The following is a 26,298-nucleotide window of genomic DNA, read 5'->3' on the forward strand; positions in this document are numbered from 1 at the left end:
TGTTCACGGGTAAAAAATAAATGTACAATCTAACCTAGCTCATATATAAACCATTTAGAGATTTAAAGATAATAATGGAGTTTTCAGGCTGGGTGTAGTGGCTCACACCTGTAATCCCAGCACTTTGGGAGGCCAAGGAGGGTAGATCACCTGAGGTCAGGAGTTTGAGACCCGCCTGGCCAACATGGCGAAACCCCATCTCTACTAAAAATACAAAAAATTAGCCGGGCATGGTGGCACATGCCTGTAATCCCAGCGACTCGGGAGGCTGAGGCAGGAGAATCACTTGAACCTGGAACACAGAGGTTGCAGTGAGCCAAGATTGCGCCACTGAACTCCAGCCTGGGCGACAGAACAAGACTCCGTCAAAAAAGAAAATAATAATAATAATAATGGAGTGTCCAACTGTGATTTTTTTCCTTCTCATTTCTTAGTCTTAATGAATTATATAGTATCAAAATCTCTCTTAAAACAAAGTATCCAGAACTGAATGATTTTTCTTAATATCATTTAAGACTGAATTAATTTTGCTTCTATGTTTCTGCAGCTGGCAACACTAGTAAGTACATACATTTTACAATGACTGAATCTCTGTGGCATGCCACACATTTTATAACAGGAAAAACGGGTGCTGAAAGAGTAAATAATCTTGGTTACACAACCAATCAGGAGTGGAGCTGGAATTGCAATTCAAGATCTTCCAATTCTACGACTGCTGTATTTTCAATCCTCCCTGCCACCTCCTACTCAACCACACACATATTTAATTCACATCTGTTTCACAGGCACCTAAAACCTGAAGTATTTGCCACACATACCATTAACCAGTATCTTTCTTATTCCATTCTTGGGAAGCAGAATGTTGAACCCAAGGGTAGGACTTTACATTTGCCCTTGATCCATTTTATCTTTATATAATAAATTCTGCATGTCATTCTGGTCTATTGAAATATTTGGGGATCTGGGTCCTGCCACCTAGTATATTATTTCTTCCATCTCCTTCTTGTCTACATGTGTGGTCGGCGTTACATTATTTTCATTTCTATCCTTAAAACAGTATTAAACAGAACGTGGCCTTCTAGCAAAACACTGAAGTCCTTTCTCTAATCTGACTTAACCATTAGCATCCTGGAAATAGTTATTCAATTGGTTTTGTCTTTTATCTTTTTTGAGACGGAGTTTCGCTCTTGTCGCCCAGGCTGGAGTGCAATGGCCCAATCTCGGCTCACTGCAACCTCCGCCTCCCAGGTTCAAGTGATTCTCCTGCCTCAGCCTCCCAAGTAGCTGGGATTACAGGTGTGTGCCACCATGCCCGGCTAATTTTTGTATTTTTAGTAGAGACAGGGTTTCACCATGTTGGCCAGGCTGGTCTCAAACTCCTGACCTCAGATGATCCACCCGCCTCAGCCTCCCACAGTGCTGGGATTACAGGCAGGAGTCACTGTGCTTGCCCCAAAGACAATTTTTAACAAACTTTAAACTTTAATTGATGAGACTGGGATTAGGTGAACAGACATACACTGCAATCAAGGGGACAGGCTTGGGTGGCAATGTAGAGTTGATCTCAGAGCCCATGGCAAGGTAAGCCTCAACTTGTGGATAGAAAAGAAAATGACAGGCTGAGCACCGTAGTCCCAGCACTTTGTAAGAGTGAGCACTTAGATGTACCTCTGTTTCTCTTCTATAGAATGTGGATATTATATTATATTAAATTATATTAATAATTTTTTAAAAGAACTGCTGTGAGACCAGGCACAGTGGCTCATGCCTGTGATCCCAGCACTTTAGGAGGCCAAAGTGGGTGGATCACTTGAGCCCAGGAGTTTAAGACCAGCCTGGGCAACCTGGCAAAACCCTGTCTCTACAAAAAATACAAAAAATTAGCCAGACGTGGTGGTGCGCCTATAGTCCCAGCTACCCAGGAGGAGGCTGAGGTAGGAGTATCACCTGAGCCCAGGTGGTCGAAGATGCAGTGAGCTGTGATCATGCCACTGCACTCCAGCCTACGGGGCGGCGGAATGAGATCCCATTTCTAAAAACAAAACAAACAAAAACAACTGTTTGAGAATGAATAAGGCAATAGATTACCCATAAATGACACAGAGCTCTAGCTTCCTCATAGTCTGTAATAGAATAAAGTAGCTTTGCAAAGTATAAGTGTTAGACAAAATTGTTGCTTAATAATAAGTTTTTCTTTTTTTAATCTAAAAGACAAAAAAATTGGTGGGACACGGTGGTTCACACCTGTAATCCCAACACTTTGGGAGGCCGAGGTGGGCAGATTACTTGAGGTCAGGATTTCCAGACCAGCTTGGCCATCATGGTGAAACCCTGTCTCTACTAAAAATACAAAAATCAGCCAGGCATGGTGGTATGCGCCTGTAATACCAGCTACTCGGGAGGCTGGGGCAGAAAAATTGCTTGAACCCAGGAGGTAGAGGTTGCAGTGAGCCAAGATTGCACCACTGCACTCCAGCCTGGGTGACAGAGTGAGACTCCGTCTCAAAAAATAAATAAATAAATAAAAACAAAAAACTTAAAAAAATGTTATTAGCACCAGTCAGCCTGGTGGCAGGGGAAAGTAATGACAGATTTCCTAGAGGAAGTGAATTCTGAAGCACAACTACCAGTTAGACAACTGAAGGTGGAAGAGTGGGTATAGACAAAGAAACAATTGGCATATAAAGTCATGTCTTAAATTTGGTGCTGGAAAACTCCTCTCCAACTTGGGTTTCCTCTGAGAAGAATCTCATTCCTTTCTAAAAGAGCTGATATAGTTCACTAAGTTTCAGCAAGACTATCAAGAAGAGCTGCACAGAAGTAGCCACAAATATAATATCAGGCTATGTTTTACCCCTTTGTATGTAAAAGTCATGATCTGCCCACAATTTTATTCCTGCAAAATATTCTATATATTGCTGGTTACCATAACTAAACACAAACATTATTAGAAAAAAGGTAACATGCTTGGTCTTTGCTATAGACTTTCAAACCTTAGGTTCAATGTAAAATGTTTTTTGTTTTTTTTTTGGATACAGGGTTCATTATGTCGCCTAGGCTGGAGTGCAGTGGCTATTCACAGTTGCAGTCATACCACTCTGCAGCCTTGAACGCCTGACCTCAAATGACCCTCACGCCTCGCCTCCCGAGTAGCTGGGACTACAGGCATGCGCAACTGCACCTGGCAAGAGTTTTTTGTTTTTAAGTCAGAGATTATTCTAGCAAAGGTAAAAGAACTATCATATTAAATTGCATTTCTTAAACTCCTGCTGATAAATAAGAGCAGATTCAGAGCTCAGTTAGGGTCTCTGTGGACACATATTTTCAGAGGCAAAAATGTCAAATTCAAAGGAAGTAAAATGATAAATAAAGCTGCTGATATGGTTGGCCTAGAAGATTAGTAACAATCTGAACCAGCTACAGAGCCCTAGCAACATCTCTTCAGAGCACCATTGACATGTGTCTGCTGAAATAAATGGATATGCCCATCTCCACATCATTTAGCAAGAACAAAAAATAAATGAGGATAAAGAGATTTATAAAGGAATCTAGTCATCGATCTGACAAGAATTGTACAATCTGGGGTCTTGTTTTACAACAGCTGCAGGACTTCTCAGTTACACCTAACCAAGGTTCTGCTGCAGGTAGGTTTTGATTAAAGATGTTAACAGTAAAATCTGGCACAATGAATGCTATAGAGAAGATACACAATTTGTTGAATGAATGAATGATCAATAAATGAACAAATGGTATGGCTTGGTGCAATGTTTTCCAAATTACAAGTCATAACCCACAGCATCATGTTTGGAAAAAAATGAAATGAAAAATATCAAGTGCATCATATGTACCGAGAAAGGGTAAAATTCCGTGAAACTTCAGTTTCAATTAAAGTGTGTGCATTTGTGTGTCTGTGATGTGCAAGTGTGCAGTGGAGTACTGGATCACAATGTATGTAGAACTGTAAAAAGTTTTAAACACATTGGCCTAGCATTTCAGACATACTAATATAAACTCCAGCTCTGCCACTTGCCAGTTTTATAATTGTGGGTAAATAATTCAGTTCTCTTAGTCTAACTATTAACTGTAAAATACAAATAATATTAGTACTTACCTCATACAGATTTGCTAGGGATGAAATGATACAGTACAAGATGCTAAGAACATGTACATGGTGCTTACTATGTACCAAGTTCTGTCCTAAATTTGTTACACTGAATCACTCACTCATTCCTTACAACTCTAAACAGACAGTCCCCTGCTTATAGAGTTCAACTTAAGGACTTTTCTACTTTATGATGGTATGAAAGTGATATGTATTCAGTAGAAACAGTACTTCCAATTTTGAATTTTCATCTTTTCCCCAAGCTAGCGATATATGATATGATACTCTCTTGCAATGCTGGGCAGCAGCAAGCCGTAGCTCCCAGTCAGGCTGGGGTGGGAGAATCATTTGAGGCCAGGAGTTCTAGACCAGCCTGGGTAACATAGCAAGACCCCATCCCTACGAAAAATAAACAAATTAGCCAGGCATGGTGGCACACACCTATATGGTCCTAGCTACCTGGGATACTGAGGTGGGAGAATCCCTTGAGCCCAGGAATTTAAAGCTGCAATGAGCTCTGACTGTGGCACTGTACTCCAGCCTGGATGACAAAGCAAGACGCTGTCTCTAAAAAAACCAACAACAACAACAAAAAGAAAAATTCATCTTAAATAAAGCTATAAATAGTGCTTTAATTTAAAAAAGTCTTTGATATAATTCAACATTATAAAACTTTTAGCAAACTAGAAACAGAAAAAAAATTAATATGATAAAGGCTATCTGAAGAAACCTATACCAACAATCACACTGAATCATAAAATGTTTAAACAAAAAAGTGCTTTTCTTTTGAGACTGGATATAACACAAGGATGGCCTATGATCAGTACTCTACCTTTATTCAACACTGTAGGGAAGGTCCCAGCCAGTGCAGACAAAATAAGAAATATATAAAAATTAACCATATTTCTATACCATGCACAGAAATGAAAAATTTTAAAAGATGCCGTTTACAATAGCATCAAGAAATATGAAATACCCAAGGTGTAATCTAATAAAGAGATACAAGATCTCTATGGAGAAACTGTAATATACTTATTTAATATAAAGTACTTCTAAGATAAGCTGAAGAAGGTTTTTAAGTAAATGGAGGGATATATGACGCTCATGGATTGGAAGAGTCATTACAGTAGAGGTCTATAGATTCAGTAAGGTCCCATTCAAAATCCACACTCTGTGTGTGTGTGTGTGTGTGTGTGTGTGTATAACTTGACAAGCTAATTCTGAAATGTATACGGAAATGCAAAAGAACAAAACTAGTACAGACACTTGAGAAAAGACAAGACAATCTACCATACATCAACATTTATTTTAAAGCTATAGTAATTAAAATGTTTTACTGGCTCAAAGATAGATAAATAGACCAAAGGCATGGAATGGAGAACCCTACAACATAGCCATGAATATATGAATATTTAATTTATGAAGATGGCATTGCAGAGCACTGAGAAAAAGACAAGGCTTTTCAATGAATTGTGATGGGGCAATTTGATATCTATATGGGAAAAAAATGAAACCCAATTCTACTATAATTTAAGACCCAAATATCAAAGGCAAAATAATATATCTCTCATTAGATAATAAAGGAGAACATCTTCATGACCTTGAGTTATAAAGAGATTTTAAAAAAGAAGTCAGAAGGCCAGGTGTGGAGGCTCACACCTGTAATCCCAGCACTTTGGGAGGCTCTGGCGGGCGGATCATGAGGTCAGAAGATCAAGACCATCCTGGCTAACACGGTGAAACCCCATCTCTACTAACAATACAAAAATTAGCTGGGCATGGTGGCACGCGCTTGTAGTCCCAGATACCCAGGAGGCTGAGGCATGAGAATCGCTTGAACTCAGGAGGCAGGGGTTGCAGTGAGCCGAGATCGTGCCACTGCACTCCAGCCTGGGCAACAGAACGAGACTCCGTCTCAAAAACAAACAAACAAACAAACAAAAACAATTAAAAAAAAAGTCAGAAGCAGCACTAACCATAGAAGAAAACATTGATAAAATGGCATTAAAGTAACAAAATTTAATAGAGTGAAAAGGCAAGCCACAGCATGGGAGAAGACACATGCAATACACTACCTACAAAGAGCTCATATTCCAAAATACATAAAACTCCTATATAAGAATAAGAAAAAGGCAACCCAGTAGAAAAATGTGTGAGACTTGAATAGGTGTGCCACAAAGGAGGTTAAGCCACATAATCAATAAACTTATGAAAAGATGTTCAAACTTACTAGTGATCAAGGACATGCAAATTAAAACCACAATGAGATATTACATAGCCATCAAAATGGCTGAAATTTAAAAAGACTTCAAGTTATGATGGCAATGTAGAAAAACTAAATTTCATATATTGTTGGTAGGACTGTTTGTTTACACAATCACTATGGAAAACGGCATGTCACTATTAAAGTGGAAGAGACATCTATCCTATGATTCATTCCCAGGTATATACCCAATACAAAATGCATATACATGCCTATCAGGAGGCAAGTTCAAGGATGTTCACAACGGCATGCTTTATAAAAGCCCTGAATTTAAAATAACCCAAATGTTCATTGACATTACTACAGATGGTATGCGTTCAACAATGAAATACTATACAACAGTAAACATATCTGAACTACTGCAACAACACAGATGACTTGTACAAACAATGGGCGAAAGAAGTGCGAAAGCAAAGAATAAATACTATAGGATTCCATTTGTATTAAGCTTAAAACAGGCAAAGAAGGGAAAGAGACATACAGTGTTAAGAGTACGGTGGTAGGGAGAAGCTTCTGGATCCTGGCAGTGTTCTGTATCTTGACGTGGGCGGTTGCTTTACAGTAAGTCATTAAGCTGTACATTTGTATTTTATCTATTTATCTTTAAGTATTAATATTTCATAATTAAAAAGCTGAAAATAAAACACAGCAGAGCACTCCAAGAAAGGGAAATGATATCAGCAACGGCAAAAGGAAGGAAAACAAACGCAAGGTGTGTTTGAGAGAATTGCATAGAATATTGATGTTGCATAGAGACATCTTACGGAGGAATGGTGGGAGATACATCTTGAAAACTGATTTGGAATAGACTGCAATCGATATTATCCTGCTGAGAGAAAGCTACTGAAATGTTTGAACAGGAGCCTAGAAAGGGCTTGCTGACCGACTGGACCACAGAGGAGAGATGAAGAGAGGAGGGGATAGGAAAGTGGCAGAGAGGAACTCAAGGTTCTAAACCACGTGGCTGTGAGAAATGAGGCAACACTAACAGAAAATTGGAAAACAAAAGCTGAGTGCGGGGCAAAAGTAATGGCTTTAGTTTAAAGAGAGGACAGGCCGGGCGCGGTGGCTCACGCCTGTAATCCCAGCACTTTGGGAGGCCAAGGCGGGCGGATCACGAGGTCAGGAGATAGAGACCATCCCGGCTAAAACGGTGAAACCCCGTCTCTACTAAAAATACAAAAAATTAGCCGGGCGTAGTGGCGGGCGCCTGTAGTCCCAGCTACTTGGGAGGCTGAGGCAGGAGAATGGCGTGAACCCGGGAGGCGGAGCTTGCAGTGAGCCGAGATCCCGCCACTGCACTCCAGCCTGGGCGACAGAGCGAGACTCCGTCTCAAAAAAAAAAAAATAAATAAAAATAAAGAGAGGACAACGGGCGAGTCAAGTGGGAATATTCTAAAGGCAACTACTTAGGGGACAATGGTCAGGGCTAAAATGAAGAATCTGGGAGTCCTCAACACACAGAAGAGTTGAAGCTATGGGAACAGATCAGAACTCCAAGGGGTGGGGGTTAGGGGGTCAGAGAATGTGGAGAAGCAGCAGCAGGATAAAACAGAGAGGGGAAGCTGAGACCTTAGGGAAGTAAAGTGAGATGACATGGTCAAAGAAGAAAAGGGTAGAATATAAATCCATGATTATCAGAAAGATAAGGGACAAAAGGATTCCACAACGAAGACTGCATTGTCAAATGCAACATCAAAACATATGAGGGCCAGGTGCGGTAGCTCACATCTGCAATCCCAGTACTTAGGGGAGGCAGGAGCAGGAGGATAGCTTGAGCCCGGGAGTCGGAGACCAGCCTGGGCAAGACAATGAGACCCTGTTCTCCACAAAAAGGAAAAACAAACAAACAAAAAAGTGTGCAGAATAAAAAAGGCTCAAAGGTCACTATTGAGAACCACTTTGGTGAACTAGTTAGGACAAAAACCATACTGACTTAAAAGTGAGTGGTAAAGAAATAAAATAATTAGCTATACATCATGATCCATTGGGAGTGATAGAGAAAATACATTTTGTAGGAGGCAGCAAAGATTCAAGCAGATGCTTTTTAAAAATTTGCTTTTTTTTTTTTTTTTTTTTTTTAACTAGTACAGAGTCATACGCATTTAAAAAAGAGAAACAGGCTGGGCACGGTGGCTCATGCCTGTAATCCCAGAACTTTGGGAGGCCAGGGCGGGTGGATCACGAGGTCAAGAGATTGAGACCATCCTGGCTAACATGGTGAAACCCCATCTCTACTAAAAATACAAAAATTAGCCAGGCATGGTGGTGTGTGCCTGTAGTCCCAGCTACTCTGGAGGCTGAGGCAGGAGAATCCCTTGAACTTGGAAGGTGGAGGTTGCAGTGAGCTGAGATGGCGCCACTGCACTCTAGCCTGGCAGAGCAATACTTCATCTCAAAAAAAAAAAAAAAAAAAAAAAAAAGAAACAGAGGCTGGGCGTGGTGGCTCATGCCTGTAATCCCAGCACTTTGGGAGGCTGAGGCGGGCAGATCACCTGAGGTCAGGAGTTCGAGACCAGCCTGGCCAATATGGTGAAACCCCGTCTCTACTAAAAATACAAAAAATGAGCCGGGTGTGTGACAGGCACCTGTAATCCCAGGTAGTTGGGAGGCTGAGGCAGAATTGCTTGAACCCAGGAGGCGGAGGTTGCAGTGAACCGAGATTGTGCCACTGCACTCCAGCCTGGGTGACACAGCAAGACTCTGTCTCAAAAAAAAAAAACAAAAGAAACATAGAAACAGTCTTTTAAGAGGAGAATGAAATGTAATCATGTAATCAACCCATGCTTTCCAAATAAAAACTTGCATGAAAAGTAAGACAAGTTAAACATTTGTGTATCTTTTTCTGTATTTTATTTTTATTAAGAAAAAAATTAAGTGACTTGCCCAGGGTTAGAAAAGCAAAGTGATTCACCCAAGGACACAGCAAATCAGTGATGGAACTGAGTTTTAACCTTATTACTCTTCAAAAGATAGACTTCCCATTACATAAACTACCTCCTGTGAAGGTGGGGGAAGAGAAGGATGGTTGGTATGGCAGGTATCAAGACTGAGCCTCAGGCCGGGCACAGTGGCTCACGCCTGTAATCCCAGCACTTTGGGAGGCCGAGGCGGGCGGGTCACGAGGTCAGGAGATCGAGACCATCCTGGCTAACACGGTGAAACACCGTCTCTACTGAAAATACAAAAAATTAGCCAGGCATGGTGGCGGGCGCCTGTAGTCCCAGCTACTCAGGAGGCTGAGGCAGGAGAATGGCATGAACCCGGGAGGCGGAGCTTGCAGTGAGCCAAGATCACGCCACCTCACTCCAGCCTGGGTGACAGAGCAAGACTCCATCTCAAAAAAAAATGAGCCTCAGTGCTGCTGCTGCATCACCCATCCCCCCCTTTAAGGAAACAAAGAAATGACAGGAGTCACAACAAAATCTGTGAAACAGAGAACTACGTGCAATCTATCTTGTAAGTGAGCACAACACACCCTCCCCTTCTAGCAATCGGTTCTACCTTAATTTGGTTAAACACAGGACAAAACCTGTTACAAAAAGGCTTCATACTCTCATACCTTCACTCAGCCTTGCTGTTACAAAAATACCTCCTCCACCCCAGGAAGGGCATTTTACCCATTCCAAGGGCTCAGGTTACGCAAATTACATTTGGAAACCGATTTTTATCAAAACCTGCTTTTCAGACTGTGATGAAGGCCAGATTTAGGAAATGGAGAATACAGCCACTCGCTTGACCAAAATTTTATTGACAACTAAGGCAATCTGGAACTTGCCTGGCTAAAGGGTATTTAAAACAAAAGGGATCTGTTTCAACTGGATTACTAGTTCCAACTCTCTGATCAGTTGTACATTCTAAGGACTGACTCCAATCAGTTTCATGAGGTTGCCACTATCTGAAATGAAGGCCTCAGGCTGTACAGCAGAATTGAAATTGGGAACAGGTACCCTCAAAATTTCATTTGCAAACACAGAATTTAAACACAAATAATAAAAAAATCATCGCACTGTTCCTCTATTTACATACCATGTCCATTCCACCGCACATACTACTATAAAATTCCATTTCCAAGGTCACACATGGAGTTCCTCAGAGGACATTTCTAAAAATTGACATCAGCTGAATGAAAACAAGTGAGCAATTTACAAGACTGATGGACTATTTGGGAGTTATTCTTACTGATCACTAGTGTGAAAGGAAAATAAAAGTCTGGGAGCCCAATTTACTATGCCAAAGGAAAAAAAAATTAAGCTGAAAGTTGAGTCATGCAAGAAGCTGCCTTTCCTTTTGTTCCTAAGCAGATAGCTACAGATAAAATGTTACCTATCTCCATGGGCAGCAACTCTATGTTCACCTTATCTTAAGTAAAGTGCTGATTTACTGAGATGAATACATAATTGACTATTCCCCTAGCTGCTCCTTTTCTCTTGCAACATGTGGATTCAGTAATGTGACCATACCTTTCCCCTTTCCCCTCCAGCCTGCTTTTCCCGTTTCAATTCTAAAACCCTCTTTGGAGAAAGGCACAGACCTGTCTACTAGGCGTGTCCTTAAACCTTGGCAAAATAAACTTCTAACTTGATTGAGACCTGTCTTTGATACTTTTTGGTTTACACTAGAAGAAAAAATGAGAAAAAGACAAAAGAAAATGTTACTGATGCCATTAACTGTGTAGGCCTAGAAACAAACTACAATGAACTGAAATGAATCCAGGAAAAAGGCTACTCCATCATCTGACTTCTCAACTGTAGGTGAGGGCAAGAAAACAAAAATTCAGAAGACAGTCCTTAATTCCCTTCTTATCTCCTCTATGTGGGGATCTCTGAATTAGAAACTAAGCTGTTATTTGTAATACAAGGTTTTCATTTTCATAGCAAACTTAGGTTTTCTAGTTGGAGAAATCTATTATTTGTCTTATGTCACTGGAAACTTTTAAGGATTCCTTGTTTACTTGGTGGGGGGTGGGGGGGCAGGGAAACAGTTGCTTGAATCTAAGGCAAAAATATAAATCGTTCTCAGTGGAAAAAATATACAGGCATTTCATTCATAGATAGCTTGGATCCATGCACTGTATCTAAACAAATAAGTATTTTTGAAGTTGGAAGTATAAAGCAGACATTGATTATTTAAAATTCTTACTTCTTGTCTCAAATCATTGCAACATTTACTCACTGAATAAATATTTGAGAGCCCCTCTATGCCCTTTATGTATCTCATGGCAGTGGAGGAGATGGACATCAATCCCATAATTTAAATACAGAGCAGTCAATACTAAACTAGCAAGAGACGATGTAGTGGACACTGAAGAGTGAATGAGTCATTCTGGAGATAGATGGGGAGGCAGAAGGAAAGATTATCTAGAAGAGGTATCACCTGAACTGAGCCTTAGAGTAGAAGTATGTCAAAAAGAATTTCAGCCAGAGGGAAGAGTACAGACAAAAGGGCTTGCTGGCTGTGGGTATTTAACTGTGTCTTAGGAGTGGGTTAGTTGAGGTAGTGGGAGATGAGGAGAGCCACAATGAACACAAACATGCAATTCTGGAGTTAGATTGACCTGAGGAGTCCTTCTGTAGGGAGGCTGTGGGCATGGATGCGATTGCAGAGGACAGGATATGAAGAGAGACTGGAATCTGCAGTAGATATCTTTCTGGCTGTCTGCTCAGCCCACACCAATCTTTTCTTTGAGAGCAGCCACTGCCCTGCCTGTGGGGCACTATGTTTACACTGCTAGACAAGTTGACTGGACCAGGGACAGATAATGGCCACTGCTGACGGGACTGGAAAAAGGCACTGGTTTAATGCAATTCTCTCTATTGCCAAGATTTCACAGGGCTTGCTAACTTCGGATGAGAGTGAGCTGTGAGGTGACTAGTGAGATGGCTTTGTTCCTGAAAAGCAAAGGATATTTGTCTAGGTGGTAGTGGTGATCATGAGGGTTAGGGGATGAAGTAAAGCAGAGGTACTATGCTTCATGGCTTCAGAGGGGCTGAGAGTAGTTCCTGTGGCTCCTGATGACTCCTGCCATCCCTCCTGAATCCCAACTCTTCCATGTTTCTCTGTGTTCCATGCTCTAACCCAGTTTCTTTCCAATAACTTCCATTCAGGGCTTGAGCTAGTTAAGTTTGATGAGTTTCTCTTACTTACCATAAAAAAAAAAAATTGACTATGACAGACCTTAATGAAAGCCTGCCTATATTTAGAGATCAGGAAGAACAAGAAGAGATAGAAAAAAGGTACCCTAGGAGCAAAGGAAAATATGGACAGTACAATGCCAGGGAAGTCAAGGAAACAAAGAGCTGTACTAAACAGAGAGCAGTCAACAGTATGGAGAAACTGAGGCTATGAACTGAGAACAGGCTGAGGGACGAGGCAAAAGGCAGAGCTGGGACTACTGCCTCTGTGCAAAATTTAGGCAGGTGCCAAAACACTCAATCGATATAAATATTTTAATACAAACTTTAAAAATCAAAATACAAAATTAATGCAAGAAAAAGTTTTAAACAGATGACTATCACTAGAATTTTCCTTTTGCCTCAAGGCTCCAATAATGGCCTGGTATGGCAATCATACTAATCTTGTCACTAATCATCTAAAGACAACTTCAAGAACATGGAGGGAAGGAGGTAGATTTCAAAATGTCAAGAAAAAGGTAGGAACAACTGCTAGAGACTATTCTTTCCAATATGTTTGATGAGAGAACCTCCATTTTGCAAGTGAGGAAACTGAATCACAGGGAAATGATTACCCAAGGTCATACGAATTGAGAACACATGAAGAAAGTGAGAATCAAACCTGGTTTCTTGCCCTTTTCGACTCCACAGTGGGCTTAGCTTAGTGGAGGAGATCTGTGGTATGTTCGCACACGTCAGTGGAAGGAATTCCAGCAAATTAATTGGGTGTCAGCAGTACTTCTATAATGAAGCATTTCCACAGGCAAAACAGGCAAGGTGAATTTTCTAGAAATTCGTAAGGGCAAGCTATAGACAAACTGGAGCTCTAAGAAGCTACAGGAAGAGCACTGTGGACATGACAGAGATGATGGTCTTTTCCAAGGTCTGAGGAAAAGGTCACCAGAAATCCTGGGTATTGGAAACTATGAAATAATTGTTTTTCCAACCAAAAAATGAGCATCAAAAAGCATTAAAGTGAGGCCTGAAGGATACTGAGTACGGTTTTGGCATTAGGAAGATTAACTGTGCAACACGAGACTTCATGGTCTTTGCAATTTACTTGTTCTGAACAGTTCATGGTTCAAAGTTGTATTAAGCTGAAACTTTTATAACTAAAAATAGCTGCCAACTTCTAATATCTTCACAGCGACAATGGGGTGGGAAAAAAGAAGGCTCACAGGATCTAGTCTTTGGAGGAAAAATCATCTCTGAATCCCCCCTGGGTAATTCATCTGAAAATGGTAAATGGGCAAAGTACGAAGCCCTCAGCTCTTTTGTCTGAAGAGAGCTGTGAACGCTGTAATTTCTCCTACATGGGTAAAATTTCAGTGCTTCAGTGCTTAAAGGGGTATCAAGAGATCATCTACTCCAACCTAAGGAATGAACACTAGCATACTTCCATAAGTAAGGCATTCACTACCTCACAACTACATAACAGCTTGGACTATTATTAAGTTCTTCCTTATTCTAACTTGAAATCTTTCACCCTGTAACTTTCTGCCTACTAGACCTAACTCCGCTCTCTGAGGCCCCATGGGACAATCTTTCACAGAAGACAACAACATGGTCCCCTAAGCTTTCTCTTTCATGCAGTAACTATTTACTGAGGAAGCCAACATTCGTGTTCCCTTTAAAAGTATTTCATAGGGCATGTCTTTCTGACACCTATCTTCATTATCTTCCTCCACATTTTTATGTCCGAGTTCTTTTTAAATACAGCCGCTACATTGTAATAGTGAAAAGTTGGGCAACCTAAATACTAATCTATAGGAGAGGAGAATGATTAAGTAAACTAACATACATATACAATGGAATAAGCAATCACTTAAAAAGGATAAGACACATCTCAAAAACCACTGTTTTTTAAAGCCGTAACATATATACATATGAACATACACATGCATGCTTTGGTATATACATGGATAAAACTTTGGAAGCAAATTTACCAAACTATTATCAGTGATTATTAGGGTAGAGAGGGAGAATGAAGGGCACAGAGGACAGACAAGAGGACATTTTTACTCTATTTTCTCTTTAGCACAAGTATGTACTACTTTTGTGCTAAAAACATCAATATGTAAATATGTACTGACACTGGAATATTTGTACTGACACTGGAATGTTTCTTTATTGCTGAATGAAAAAAGCAGACATTAACCTTTTCTCTCCACCAGGAATATAAATTTCAAAGACAGGGACTATGTCCTGCGTACTCTTATATCCTAAGACTTAGCAAAGTAGGTGCTCAGAAATACTGTTGAATGGGTATATGTATGAATGAATGAATGGCACCTATATGTTTGTCATATTAGAAATTATGACACTGGTTTCAGAGTTTCAAGATACTTCCCAGATGTCACACTTGCTAGATACCACTCTGATCAGAGGCAGGAGGTAGTAGAAAGAATATTAGATGAGGAGTAAGAATTTAGTCTTAACTATAATATTACTGAAGGAGCCTTAGCAGAGTCATTTAACTCCTTTATCTAATTTCATAACTGCATTTTTACAGTAACTTTCCTACATGAGCTTGAACATCTCCAGTGATAAAGAGCTTACTTCCTTATTTGATGCTAAAATATAATTCCCTGCAATGAAGACATCCTGGTCTTAATATAATCTGTGAACACTGAGCAACCTGCCCAAGCCTGCTCCCTCCCGTTTTCCACCAAGAGTTTGACAACCTTTGGAGTTTAATACCCCTAGTCCCACAACTGATTTATATATCATTTCCCCATCACAGTGGGTGGCCATCTGCCTTTCCTCTGGACATATTCTTGCTTGGAAATGCCACATGAAAATATCATGCTCAGAATCTACTGTGGCTTGATGAGTACAGGAAAGAGAGGGAAATCATTCTTCCCACTCCCTTTTGGATACTACGTTTTAAATGAATGCAATAGAATTTATTACCTTTCGGGTATAAAGTATACACTCTACAACTGCATAAAAGATAATGGGTTAATATTATTGATCAGTCCTGAGTGTATAGTAACTCAAACCTCTCAGTCCTTTTTATTTTCTACTGCTAAGCTGGCTGATTCACATCCTGTAATGGTAAGCTAGGTCTTTGCACGAAACACAGACTTGTTTATTGCCTTGAGTCACTGTGATGTTCCTGCCTATTGAAATATGGGCTTTCCCTCTTAGCTCTGGGACATCAAAAGAAGCCTACCGCCTGTATTACACATCTGTACTCCCCACCTTCATACAAAATTGGTGAGGATTAAGCTAGGCCTGTGATCTCAGGCTGGTCACTAATTTCTCTATCAAAACCTAGTACAGTATATAGTGATTAAGAGCGTGGGCTGTGAAGTCAAACTGCCTGGATTAAAACCTGAGCTTTGGCCGGGCGCAGTGGCTCATGCCTGTAATCCTAGCACTTTGGGAGGCTAAGGCGGGCAGACTGTCTGAGCTCAGGAGTTCGAGACCAGCCTGGGCAACATGGTGAAACCCTGCCTCTACTAAAAGACAAACAATTAGCTGGACATGGTGGCACGCGCCTGTAGTCCCAGCTACTCAGGAGGCTGAGACAGGAGAATCGTTTGAACCCAGGAGGCAGAGGTTTCAATGAGCCGAGATCACACCACTGCCTTCCAGCCTGGGTGACAGATCGAGACTCTGTCTCAAAAAAATAAAAAATAAAAAATTAAATCTCAGCTTTAACATTTACTGAATGTGTCATATTGCTTAATCTACATGTCTTAGTCTATATTGCTTAGTCTCTCCATGCCTCAGTTCTTCAGCTATAAACTGGGGATAACAATAGTACTTTTATCACATCGTAACTGTGAGGACTGAGTTATTACATGTAATGTGAACAGAGTTAATACATGTAAAGTACATGTACTTGGAATATAGTAAATGCTCAAACATGTGAGCTATTATTATTATTGATATCATATTGTCACCACTTTGTCTCAGGATACCCATCAGTAAAATGAGGACCATTACTTTACCTAAAAAGCTCCTATGAGAACCAAATAGGAATGTATGAAGGAGCGCCCAGGAATTGTAAAGTGCAGGGTGCCTCCAAGCGATTCATCTGAGTGAGCTTCTAATTCTTGCATGCCTGGGGCGTACTGGGTTTGCCCACCTAGCAGGTACAGTCAGGTAGTGAAAAGCATCTTATCACAGCAGTGTCACCTATCTGGTTCTCCTCAGTAGCCTCACTGCTCCCCATTACATCTACCTGCAGTTCAGGATGACTGCCTGGATTAGAGAACCAACATTTACTTACTGAGCTTTTACAGTAAGTTGTCCTTAAAGTTTTCTTTCCCCTTGTTTTATTTTTACTGTAACTATGAAGCCAAAAGTAAAAGCAACACAAGCTTTGTTTTGTTTTGTTGTTTTTTGTTTCTGAGACGGAGTTTCACTCTGTCACCAGGCTGGAGCACAGTGGCACAATCTCGGCTCACTGCAACTTCCACCTCCCGGGTTCAAGCGATTCTCCTGCCTCAGTCTCCCGAGTAGCTGGGACTACAGGCGCGTGCCACCACGCCCAGCTAATTTTTTGTATTTTTAGTAGAGACGGGGTTTCACCATGTTAGCCAGGATGGTCTCGATCTCCTGACCTCATGATCTGCCCACCTTGGCCTCCCAAAGTGCTGGGATTATAGGCGTGAACCACCGCGCCCAGCCAAGCAACACAAGCTTTGTATCCCAGTTAGTCATTATTTTAGCTGTGTGACTTAATGTCTCCGAGCTTTGGTTTCCTAATCTATAAACCTATCTACTTTACTGGATTTTTGTGAGAATTAAGAGATTAGAATAGGTAAAAGACTTGTAGAGTGCTGGTAAATGGAGATGTGAATCAATAACTTTAGTCTGGGCTCAATGGCTCATGCCTGTGAATCCTAGTTGAGATTAGGGAGGCCAAGACAGGAAGATCATCCGAGCTCAGGAGTTTGAGACCAGCTTGGGCAACATAGGGAGACGCCATCTCTATAAAAAATTAAAAATTAGCTAGCCGTGGTGGTGTATGCCTGTAGTCCCAGGTACTCGAGAGGCTGAGGTGGGAGGATCACTTGAGCCTGGGAAGTTGAGGCTGTGGTGAGCCATGACTGCATCACCACATTCCAGCCTGGGGAACAGAGCGAGACCTCATCTCTATTAAAAAACCAAAACACCAAATGTAATTGTATTTTATTATGACTATGCTTATTTCTCCAGCCAGGGGCCGTAGTTCTTTCTGGAAATATCTTCCATAAATTTGAGTTTTAATTTATAGGCCTCTATTAGAGAGGTGAAAATACACTCAGTGCAATTATACCAAACAGCTAAACCAGAGTAGCCATAACATCCTTTAGGAAAGTGTATGCACACTTTTTCCCACACAAAAAAATTCTTTGAGTCTCTTCCAAAGAAAATCCCAGAACTTTCACTGGCATGATTTCCAACTGTCAAAATCCTGAGATTCCATCACCAGATACTGAATTAGTAGTTGATTTGGCTACTGAGGTTTTTCACTGATAAGAGTATTACTGACTCTGAGGGTTGGTGTTTGTTATATATCTCAGTCCTTTGTGACTTCTCTAATTACTTAGTTCTGGATTATGGAGCCATTAAATTTCAGAGCCAGAGGGGACTTTACAAATAAACTAGTTTGTCCTCCTCACTTTACAGATGGAGAAACTGAGTCCAGAAAAGGAAAGTAATTTGTACATGTTTGTATAAGTAACCTCTATACTACAGCTGCCTCTGCATTTCATTTCGCCTTTAAATGACCTATGTATCTGTAACACTCAGTGGTTGCTATTCTGGACCACATGAATTTGACTACCAAACTTTCTATTCTCGTAAATTGATGGCTCATTGCAGAAATTGGGAAAACTGGTGATCATCATCAGTGTTTAAGGGCAGCTTCCTGAAATTTAAGGATAAATTAAAGCTGAAGATAGATGGGCTCTCAGAATTTCTATATAGCTTCACACTGAAATCCTTAAAACAGATATGTAAATTCTACGTGAACAGATATCTTCTCTGTCCTGATGACTGCTGGATCTATTCATGGAGTCTTACAAAGTGAAAGCACTAAGAACATTTGCTAAATGAATGGAAGAAACTGGACAAACATCTGAATTCTCCCCTTTTTGAAGCACTTTTGTACCTTGATTTCCAAGACAATAGTCTTCTGCTTTTCCTCCTCTTTCTCAGATCAACAGTTTTTCAGTCTCTTTTACTGAGTACTCTTTGGGACTTCCAAACATTGGAATGTCTCCTGGGGTTAGTCCATGGACCTCTTTTCTACCAATATTCTCTCTTTAGGTGACTTTAGACTGCCATATAGTAGTAATGCCTAAAAGTGGATCCTTAAACCAAAACTCCCCCTTGAGCTCCAGAGGCCTGTATCTACACTGCCCATTTAACATCTCCATTTAGCTTTCTAATAGGTATCTCAAACTTAACAGCCAAACGGAACTCTAGATTCTATTCCTACCTCCCATATCAACATGTTTCTTGGGAAAAGTTGTATCTTAGTAAATAAAACCAAAATCCATTAGTTATTAAATACTAAAATCTAGGAGTCATTCCTAATTCCTTTACTTTCTTTTACATTTCATCATCCAAACCATAAGGAAACCCTATCAATTCTCCCTCCAAAACAGATCTAAAATCTATTCTCAATCTCCACTACTAAAAGCCCTGGCTTATGCCACCATCATCTCTCATTTCATGACCATTTAGTCTACTAAGTAGTCTCCTTCCTTCTCTTAGACTCCCTACAATTCATTTTCCAATCTATTCTATAATGTAGTCAAATGGATCCTTAAAAATTCTTCTGTTCAAAACACTCTACTTCCTCTAGAAGATGAAATAAAACCTAGGGCCTACATATAGCCCTATATCATGAGGCTCTAGCCTAAATCTCTGGCCCAATTTAATCCTACCCTTCCCCCACTCACTATGCCACATACTGGAAATAATCCTTTCTCATTGCTAAAAGGGCAATTTATATCTAGGGAGAGGATTATAGGGGACTAGATCATAATATATCAATTCAATTGCTTACCATTCCTAAATCCCACAAGGTGCTATAGAATTGTGAGAAACTGCCAGGTGCCAGTGGCTCACACCTGTAATCCCGGCACTTTGGGAGTCTGAGACAGGTGGATTGCTTGAGCCCAGGAGTTCAAGACCAGCCTGGGCAACATAGGGAGACTCCATCTCTACTGATAATTCAAAAAGTTAGCCAGGCATGGTGGCATGCACCTGTGGTCCCAGCTACCTGGGAGGCTTAGGTGGAGGATTGCCTGAGCTCAAGAGTTTGAGACTAGCCCTGGCTACATAGCAAGATCCTGTCCCTACAAAAAATTTAAAACTTAGCCAAGTGTGGTGGCATGCACCTGTGGTCCCAGCTACATGGGAGGCTTAGGTGGAGGATTGCCTGAGCTCAAGAGTTTGAGACTAGCCCTGGCTACATAGCAAGATCCTGTCCCTACAAAAAATTTAAAACTTAGCCAAGTGTGGTGGCATGTGCCTGTAGTCCCAGCTACTCAGGAGGCTGAGTAGCTACTGGGAGGGTCACTTGAGCCTGGGAGGTTGAAGCTACAGTGAGTCATGGTAATGCCACTGCACTCCAGCCCTGGTGAGACCCCATTTCACAAAATAAAAAATAATAAAACTACATGTTAGAATGGCTAAAATTAAAAAAAAAATGACAATATCAAGTGATGGTGAAAATGTGGAGCAACTAGAACTCTCATACATGTAGCAAGTGAGAATACAAAATAATATAATCACTATGGAAAACAGTCTGATAGGTTCTTATAAAATTAAACATAGCCGGGCACGGTAGCTCATACCTGTAATCCTACCACTTTGGGAGGCTGAGGCGGGTGGATCACTTGAGGTCAGGAGTTGGAGACCAGCCTGACCAACATGGTGAAATGCCGCCTCTACTGAAAATACATAATTAGCTGGGCATGGTGGCGCGTGCCTGTAATCCAAGCTACTTGGGAGGCTGAGGCAGGAGAATCACTTGAACCAGGGAGGCAGAGGTGGTGGTGAGCTGAGATTGCACCATTGCACTCCAGCCTGGACAACAAGAACTAAACTGTGTCTCATAAATAAACAAACAAACAAACAAACAAAGATTTACCATATGACCTAGCAATTCTACTCCTAGTTATTTAACACAGAAAAATGAAAAATTAGGTTCAAACACAAACTAGTACATGAATATTTATAGCACTTCTATTTATAATCATCCCAAACTGTAAATAACCAAATATCCTTCAATGGGTGAATGGATCAACAAACATATAACAGAATACTACCCAGCAATTAAAAGAATAATAAACTATTAATACATATAACAATATGCCAGTTTCAAAAGATTACATACTCTATTATTTCATTCATATGACAGTCTCCAGAAGATAAAATTACAGTAATAGGGAACAGGGAACAGATCTGTAGCTGCTGTGGGTTAGCAGTCAGCTGAGGGTATGACCACAAAATGACAGCATGAAAGAAGGTTTTTTTTTTGAGGTAAAGAAATGGTTCTGGCTAGAAAATACTATTTTAAAATTCATATGGAACCAAAAGCACAATAGCCAAGGCAATCCTAAGCAAAAAAGAACAAAGCTGGGCCAGGCGTGGTGGTTCACACCTGTAATCCCAGCACTCTGGGAGGCCTAGGTGGGTGGATCACTTGAGGTCAGGGGTTTAAGACCAGCTTGGTCAACATGGTGAATTCCCATCTCTACTAAAAATATAAGAAGTAGCCAGCCATGGTGGCTCACGCCTGTAATCCCAGTTACTCAGGGGGCTAAGGCAGGAGAATCGCTTGAACCCAGGAGGCAGAGGTTGTTGTGAGCCAAGATCGCGCCACTGTACTCTAGCCTGGGCAACAGAGTGAGACTCCAACTCAAAAAATAATAATAATAATAATAATAAAGAATAAAGCTGGATGCATCATGCTACCTGACTTCAGACTATACTACAGGGATACAGTAACCAAAATAGTATGGTACTGGTATGAGAACAGACACACAGACCAATTGAACAGGATAGAGAACCCAGAAATAAGACTGCATGCCTACAGCCATCTGATCTTTGACAAACCTGACAAAAACAAGAAATGGTGCTGGAAGAACTGGCTAGCCATATGCAGAAAATTGAAATTGGATCCCTTCCTTATACCATATACAAAAATCAACTCAAGATGGATTAAAGACTTAAATGTAAAACCCAAAACTATAAAAACCCTAGAAGAAAACCTAGGCAATACCATCAGTACATGGGAAGAGGCAAAGATTTCATGATGAAGATGCCAAAAACAATTGTAACAAAAGCAAAAATTGACAAATGGGATTTAATTAAACTAAAGAGCTTCTGCACAGCAAAAGAAACTATCATCAGAGGCCGGGCACAGTGGCTCACGCTTGTAATCCCAGCACTTTGGTAGGCCGAGGCAGGCGGATCACGAGGTCAAGAGATCGAGACCATCTGGCCAACATGGTGAAACCCCGTCTCTACTAAAAATAGAAAAATTAGCTGGGCATGGTGGTGCATGCCTGTAGTCCCAGCTACTCGGGAGGCTGACACAGGAGAATCACTTGAACCCAGGAGGGGGAGGTTGCAGTGAGCCGAGATCACGCCATTGCACTCCAGCCTGGAGACAGAGCAAGACTCCGTCTCAAAAAACAAACGAACAAACAAAAAGAAACTATCATCAGAGTAAACAGACAACCTACAGAATGGGAGAAAATTTTTGCAATCTATCCATCTGACAAAGGTCTGATATCCAGAATCTACAAGGAATTTAATCAAATTTACAAGAAAAAAACCAACCACATTGAAAAAGTGGGCCGAGGATATGAACAGACGCTTCTCAAAAGAAGACATTTATGAGCCGACAAACATGAAAAAAAGCTCAACATCAATGATCATTAGAGCAATGCAAATCAAAACCACAGTGAGATACCATCTCACATCAGTCAGAATGGCAATTATTAAAGAGTGAAGAAACAACAGATGCTGGCGAGGCCGTGGAGAAATAGGAATGCTTTTATACTTTTGGTGAGAGTGAATATTAGTTCAACCATTGTAGAAGATGTTGTGGTGATTTCTCAAAGACCAAGAACCAGAAATACCATTCGACCCAGCAATCCCATTACTGGGTATATAACCAAAGGAATATAAATCATTCTATTATAAAGACATATGTACATGTACATTCATTGCAGTACTATTCACAATAGCAAAGATACAGAAACAAACTAAATGTCCATCAGTGATAGACTGGATAAAGAAAATGTGATACATATACACCATGGAATACTAGTCAGCCATAAAAAAGAACAAGATCTGCAAGGACACAGATGAAGCTGGGGGCCATTATCCTTAGCAAACTAACATGCGAACAGAAAACCAAATACCGCATGTTCCCACTTATAAGGAGGAGCTAAATGATGAGAACACACGGACACATAGAGGGGAACAACACACACTGGGGCTTACCAGAGGGCAGAGGGTGGGAGGAGGGAGAGGATCAGGAAAAATAACTAATGGATGCTAGGCTTAATACCTGGGTGATGAAATGATCTGTACAACAAACCTCCATGACACACATTTACCTATGTAACAAACCAGCACATCCTGCACATGTACCCCTGAACTTAAAAGTTAAAAAAAAAAAAAGAAATGGTTCTGGGCCAGGTGGAGTGGCCCATGCCTGTAATCCTAGCACTTTGGGAGGCCAAGGTGGAAGGACTGCTTGAGGCCAGGAATTTGAGACCAGCCAGGCCAATACAGTGAGACCTCATCTCTATTAAAAAGAAAACAAATTAGCTGGGCATGGTGGTGTGTGCCTGTAGTCCCAGCTACTCAGGAGGCTGAGGCAAAAGGATTGTTTGAGCATAAGAGTTCAAGGTTGCAGTGAGCTGAGATTGCATACTGCAAAAGAACAAGACCCCATCTCTCTAAAGAAAAAAAGAAAGAAAATGGTTTTGTATCATCACTGTGGAGGTGGTTACAGAGATTACACAAATCTATATTCACAGAAGAGTACGCCCTTCCCCCCCAAAGCACTCAATTTTTCTGTATGCTAATTGTACAATGAAGTTAAAAACAAAAGCACCCCAAATTATCTATCCAAAAACATTATAATGCTTTGGCCATTAGGTAATCAACATTTCACAAGATGTAAGTAAAAATACAATGATTGCTCAGCAAATCACGCACCCACCCACCCACACCCACACCCACCCCTTGCTCTAGAAAACCAAAAGAAACCTTTCAATTAGTGGGAAAAGTTTGGATAAGATATTCAGACTCTATTTTTCCATTCATTAAGAAAATACAACAGACTCCCTTTCTGTTGGGAACACTCCCCTAGAGGACAGATGACTCCTTCACAGAGTATAACTTCTTACAACCACTTAACCGAGGCCTCTCCCTCTGTAGTACCTGGCAATTTGTAACAAGGTTAAGTAAGGCTATAGCATGCTCTCCCTAAATCCCAGGACAGTTTCTTGAAGTGTTAAACCTCCAGCATCTAGGCCTCTAGTTCTGAGGCAGAACTGTGCTTGTGCTCCTTTCTAGCAAGGTACATTAATCTCTTCAACATATTCAGAAGAAGACTGACAGGAATGTGAGGGGGGCTCTCTTCTGTTTAGGGGCAGGGGCATCCACTCACAGATCAAAGTTCTCTCTAGGGTTTCCCTTGTATCTAGAACCAAACAATACTTCTGTCCTATATGAGTCTTAGAACTCACGGCATACTCGGTCAGGTTGTTTCACATTGTCAGGCATGTGCTCATGCTGCTCCTCTGCTTAGGAGACCCTTTGCCACTTCACCAGCCTGGCAAACATCTATCAGTCTCTCAGGATGACTTCCTGAGTGAGGCCTAACCTGATAGCCCTCTGCACAACTTCTGTACTCACAAATGAGCACTCTGCCCTCTGCACAGCTTCTGTACTCTACAGTATTGCTATCAGTATGCCCCGAACACTTCATTACACTTATTTATGTGAGGATCTATTTCCCTCTGCTAGACTTGGGTATATCACAGGGCAGGGAGAGAGTCTTATTTTTTCTGTATCCCTAATGCATAGCTCAATACCAAGCACAGAGCAATCACTAGTGAACATCAGTTGAATGAAAGAACAGTGCATGAGCATACATCATTTTATTGCACTTGGCTTTTTTTTTTTTTTTTTGAGACAGAGTCTCACTCTGTCACCCAGGCTGGAGTGCAGTGGGTGGCGCAATCTCAGCATCTCAGCTCACTGCAACCTCCACCTCCCACGTTCAAGCGATTCTCCTGCCTCAGCCTCCCGAGTAGCTGGGATTACAGGCGTATGCCACCACACCCAGCTAATTTTTGAATTTTTAGTAGAGACGAGGTTTCACCTTGTTGGCAGGATGCTCTCGATCTCCTGACGTCATGATCTGCCCTCCTCGGCCTCCCAAAGTGCTGGGATTACAGTGTGAGCCACCGCGCCCAGCCACTTTATTGCATTTTTTACAAATTGAAGGTTTGTGGCAACCCTGCATCAAGGAAGTCTCATCAGTACCATTTTTTCCAAAAGCATGTGCTCACTTTGTGTCTCTGTGTCACATTTGGTAAGTCTTGTAATATTTCAAACTTGTTCATATTATTATATCTGTTATGGTCATCTGTAATCAGTGATCTTTGATGTTAGTAATTGTTTGGGGGTGCCACGAACCGCACCGAAATAAGATGGTGAACTTAATCGAAAAATGTTGTATGTGTTCTGACTGCTCCACTGACCAGCCATTCCCCCATCTCTCCTTCTCTCCCCTTGGGCCTCTCCATTCTCTGAAACCCAACAACATTGAAATTAGGCCAGTTAATAACCCTAGAAAGGCCTCTATGTGTTCAAGTGAAAGGAAGAGCCACGTCTCTCACTTTAAATCAAAAGCTAGAAATCGTTAAGCTTAATGAGGAAGGCACGTCAAAAGCAAAGATAAGCCGAAAGCTAGGCCTCTTGCTCCAAAGAGCCAAGCTGTGAATGCAAAGGAAAAGTTCTTGAAGGAAATTAAAAGTGCTACTCCAGTGAACACACAAATGATAAGAAAGAAAAACAGCCTTATTGCTAACATGGACAAAGTTTTAGTAGTCTGGATAGAAAGGCAAACCAATCACAACATTCTGGAAAGGCAAACCAATCACAACATTCTGTTAAGCCAAAGCTAATGCAGAGCAAGGCCCTAACTCTCTTCAATTCTATGATGGTTGAGAGAGGTGAGGAAGCTGCAGAAGAAAGGTTTGAAGCTAGCAGAGGTTGGCTCACGAGGTTGAAGGAAATAAGCTGTCTCCATTACTTAAAAGTGCAAGGTGGGCCAGGCGCAGTGGCTCATGCCTGTAATCCCAGCACTTTTGGAGGCCAAGGCAGGCAGATCATGAGGTCGGGAGATCGAGACCATCCTGGCTAACACGGTGAAACCCCGTCTCTACTAAAAATACAAAAACAAAATTAGCCAGGTATGGTGGCAGGCACCTGTAGTCCCAGCTACTCGGGAGGCTAAGGCAGGAGAATGGTGTAAACCCAGGAGGCAAAGCTTGCAGTGAGCCGAGATCACGCCACTGCACTCCAGCCTGGGTGACACAGCGAGACTCCATCTCAAAAAAAAAAAAAAAGGGGGGGGGGGGCAAGGTGAAGCAGCAAGTGCTGATGTAGAAGCCGCAGCAAGTTATCCAGAAGATCAACGATGAAGGTGGCTACACTAAACAACTGATGTTCAGTATAGATGAAGGGGCCTTATATTGGAAGAAGACACCATCTAC

At 41.2% G+C, this 26,298-nt stretch overlaps 1 protein-coding gene across 6 annotated transcripts in view, besides 1 other annotated feature; it reads right to left on the reverse strand.

Moving 5' to 3' along the window:
- Positions 1 to 26,298, reverse strand: part of NR6A1 (nuclear receptor subfamily 6 group A member 1) — a 254,037-nt gene that overhangs the window by 42,133 nt on the left and 185,606 nt on the right. The gene's annotated exons all lie outside the window — the stretch shown is intronic.
- Positions 15,070 to 16,269: an enhancer, noted in NCBI's record as "P300/CBP strongly-dependent group 1 enhancer chr9:127336756-127337955 (GRCh37/hg19 assembly coordinates)". NCBI's record gives its function as "activates an origin of replication core promoter dependent on BRD2, BRD4, P300/CBP, MED14 and CDK7 cofactors, with strong dependence on P300/CBP, by STARR-seq in HCT116 cells {active_cell/tissue: HCT116}" and the evidence as "EXISTENCE:reporter gene assay evidence [ECO:0000049][PMID:35650434]".

The sequence above is a fragment of the Homo sapiens genome, chromosome 9 (assembly GCF_000001405.40).
Source record: "Homo sapiens chromosome 9, GRCh38.p14 Primary Assembly".
In the NCBI taxonomy this organism is placed as follows: Eukaryota; Metazoa; Chordata; class Mammalia; order Primates; family Hominidae; genus Homo; species Homo sapiens.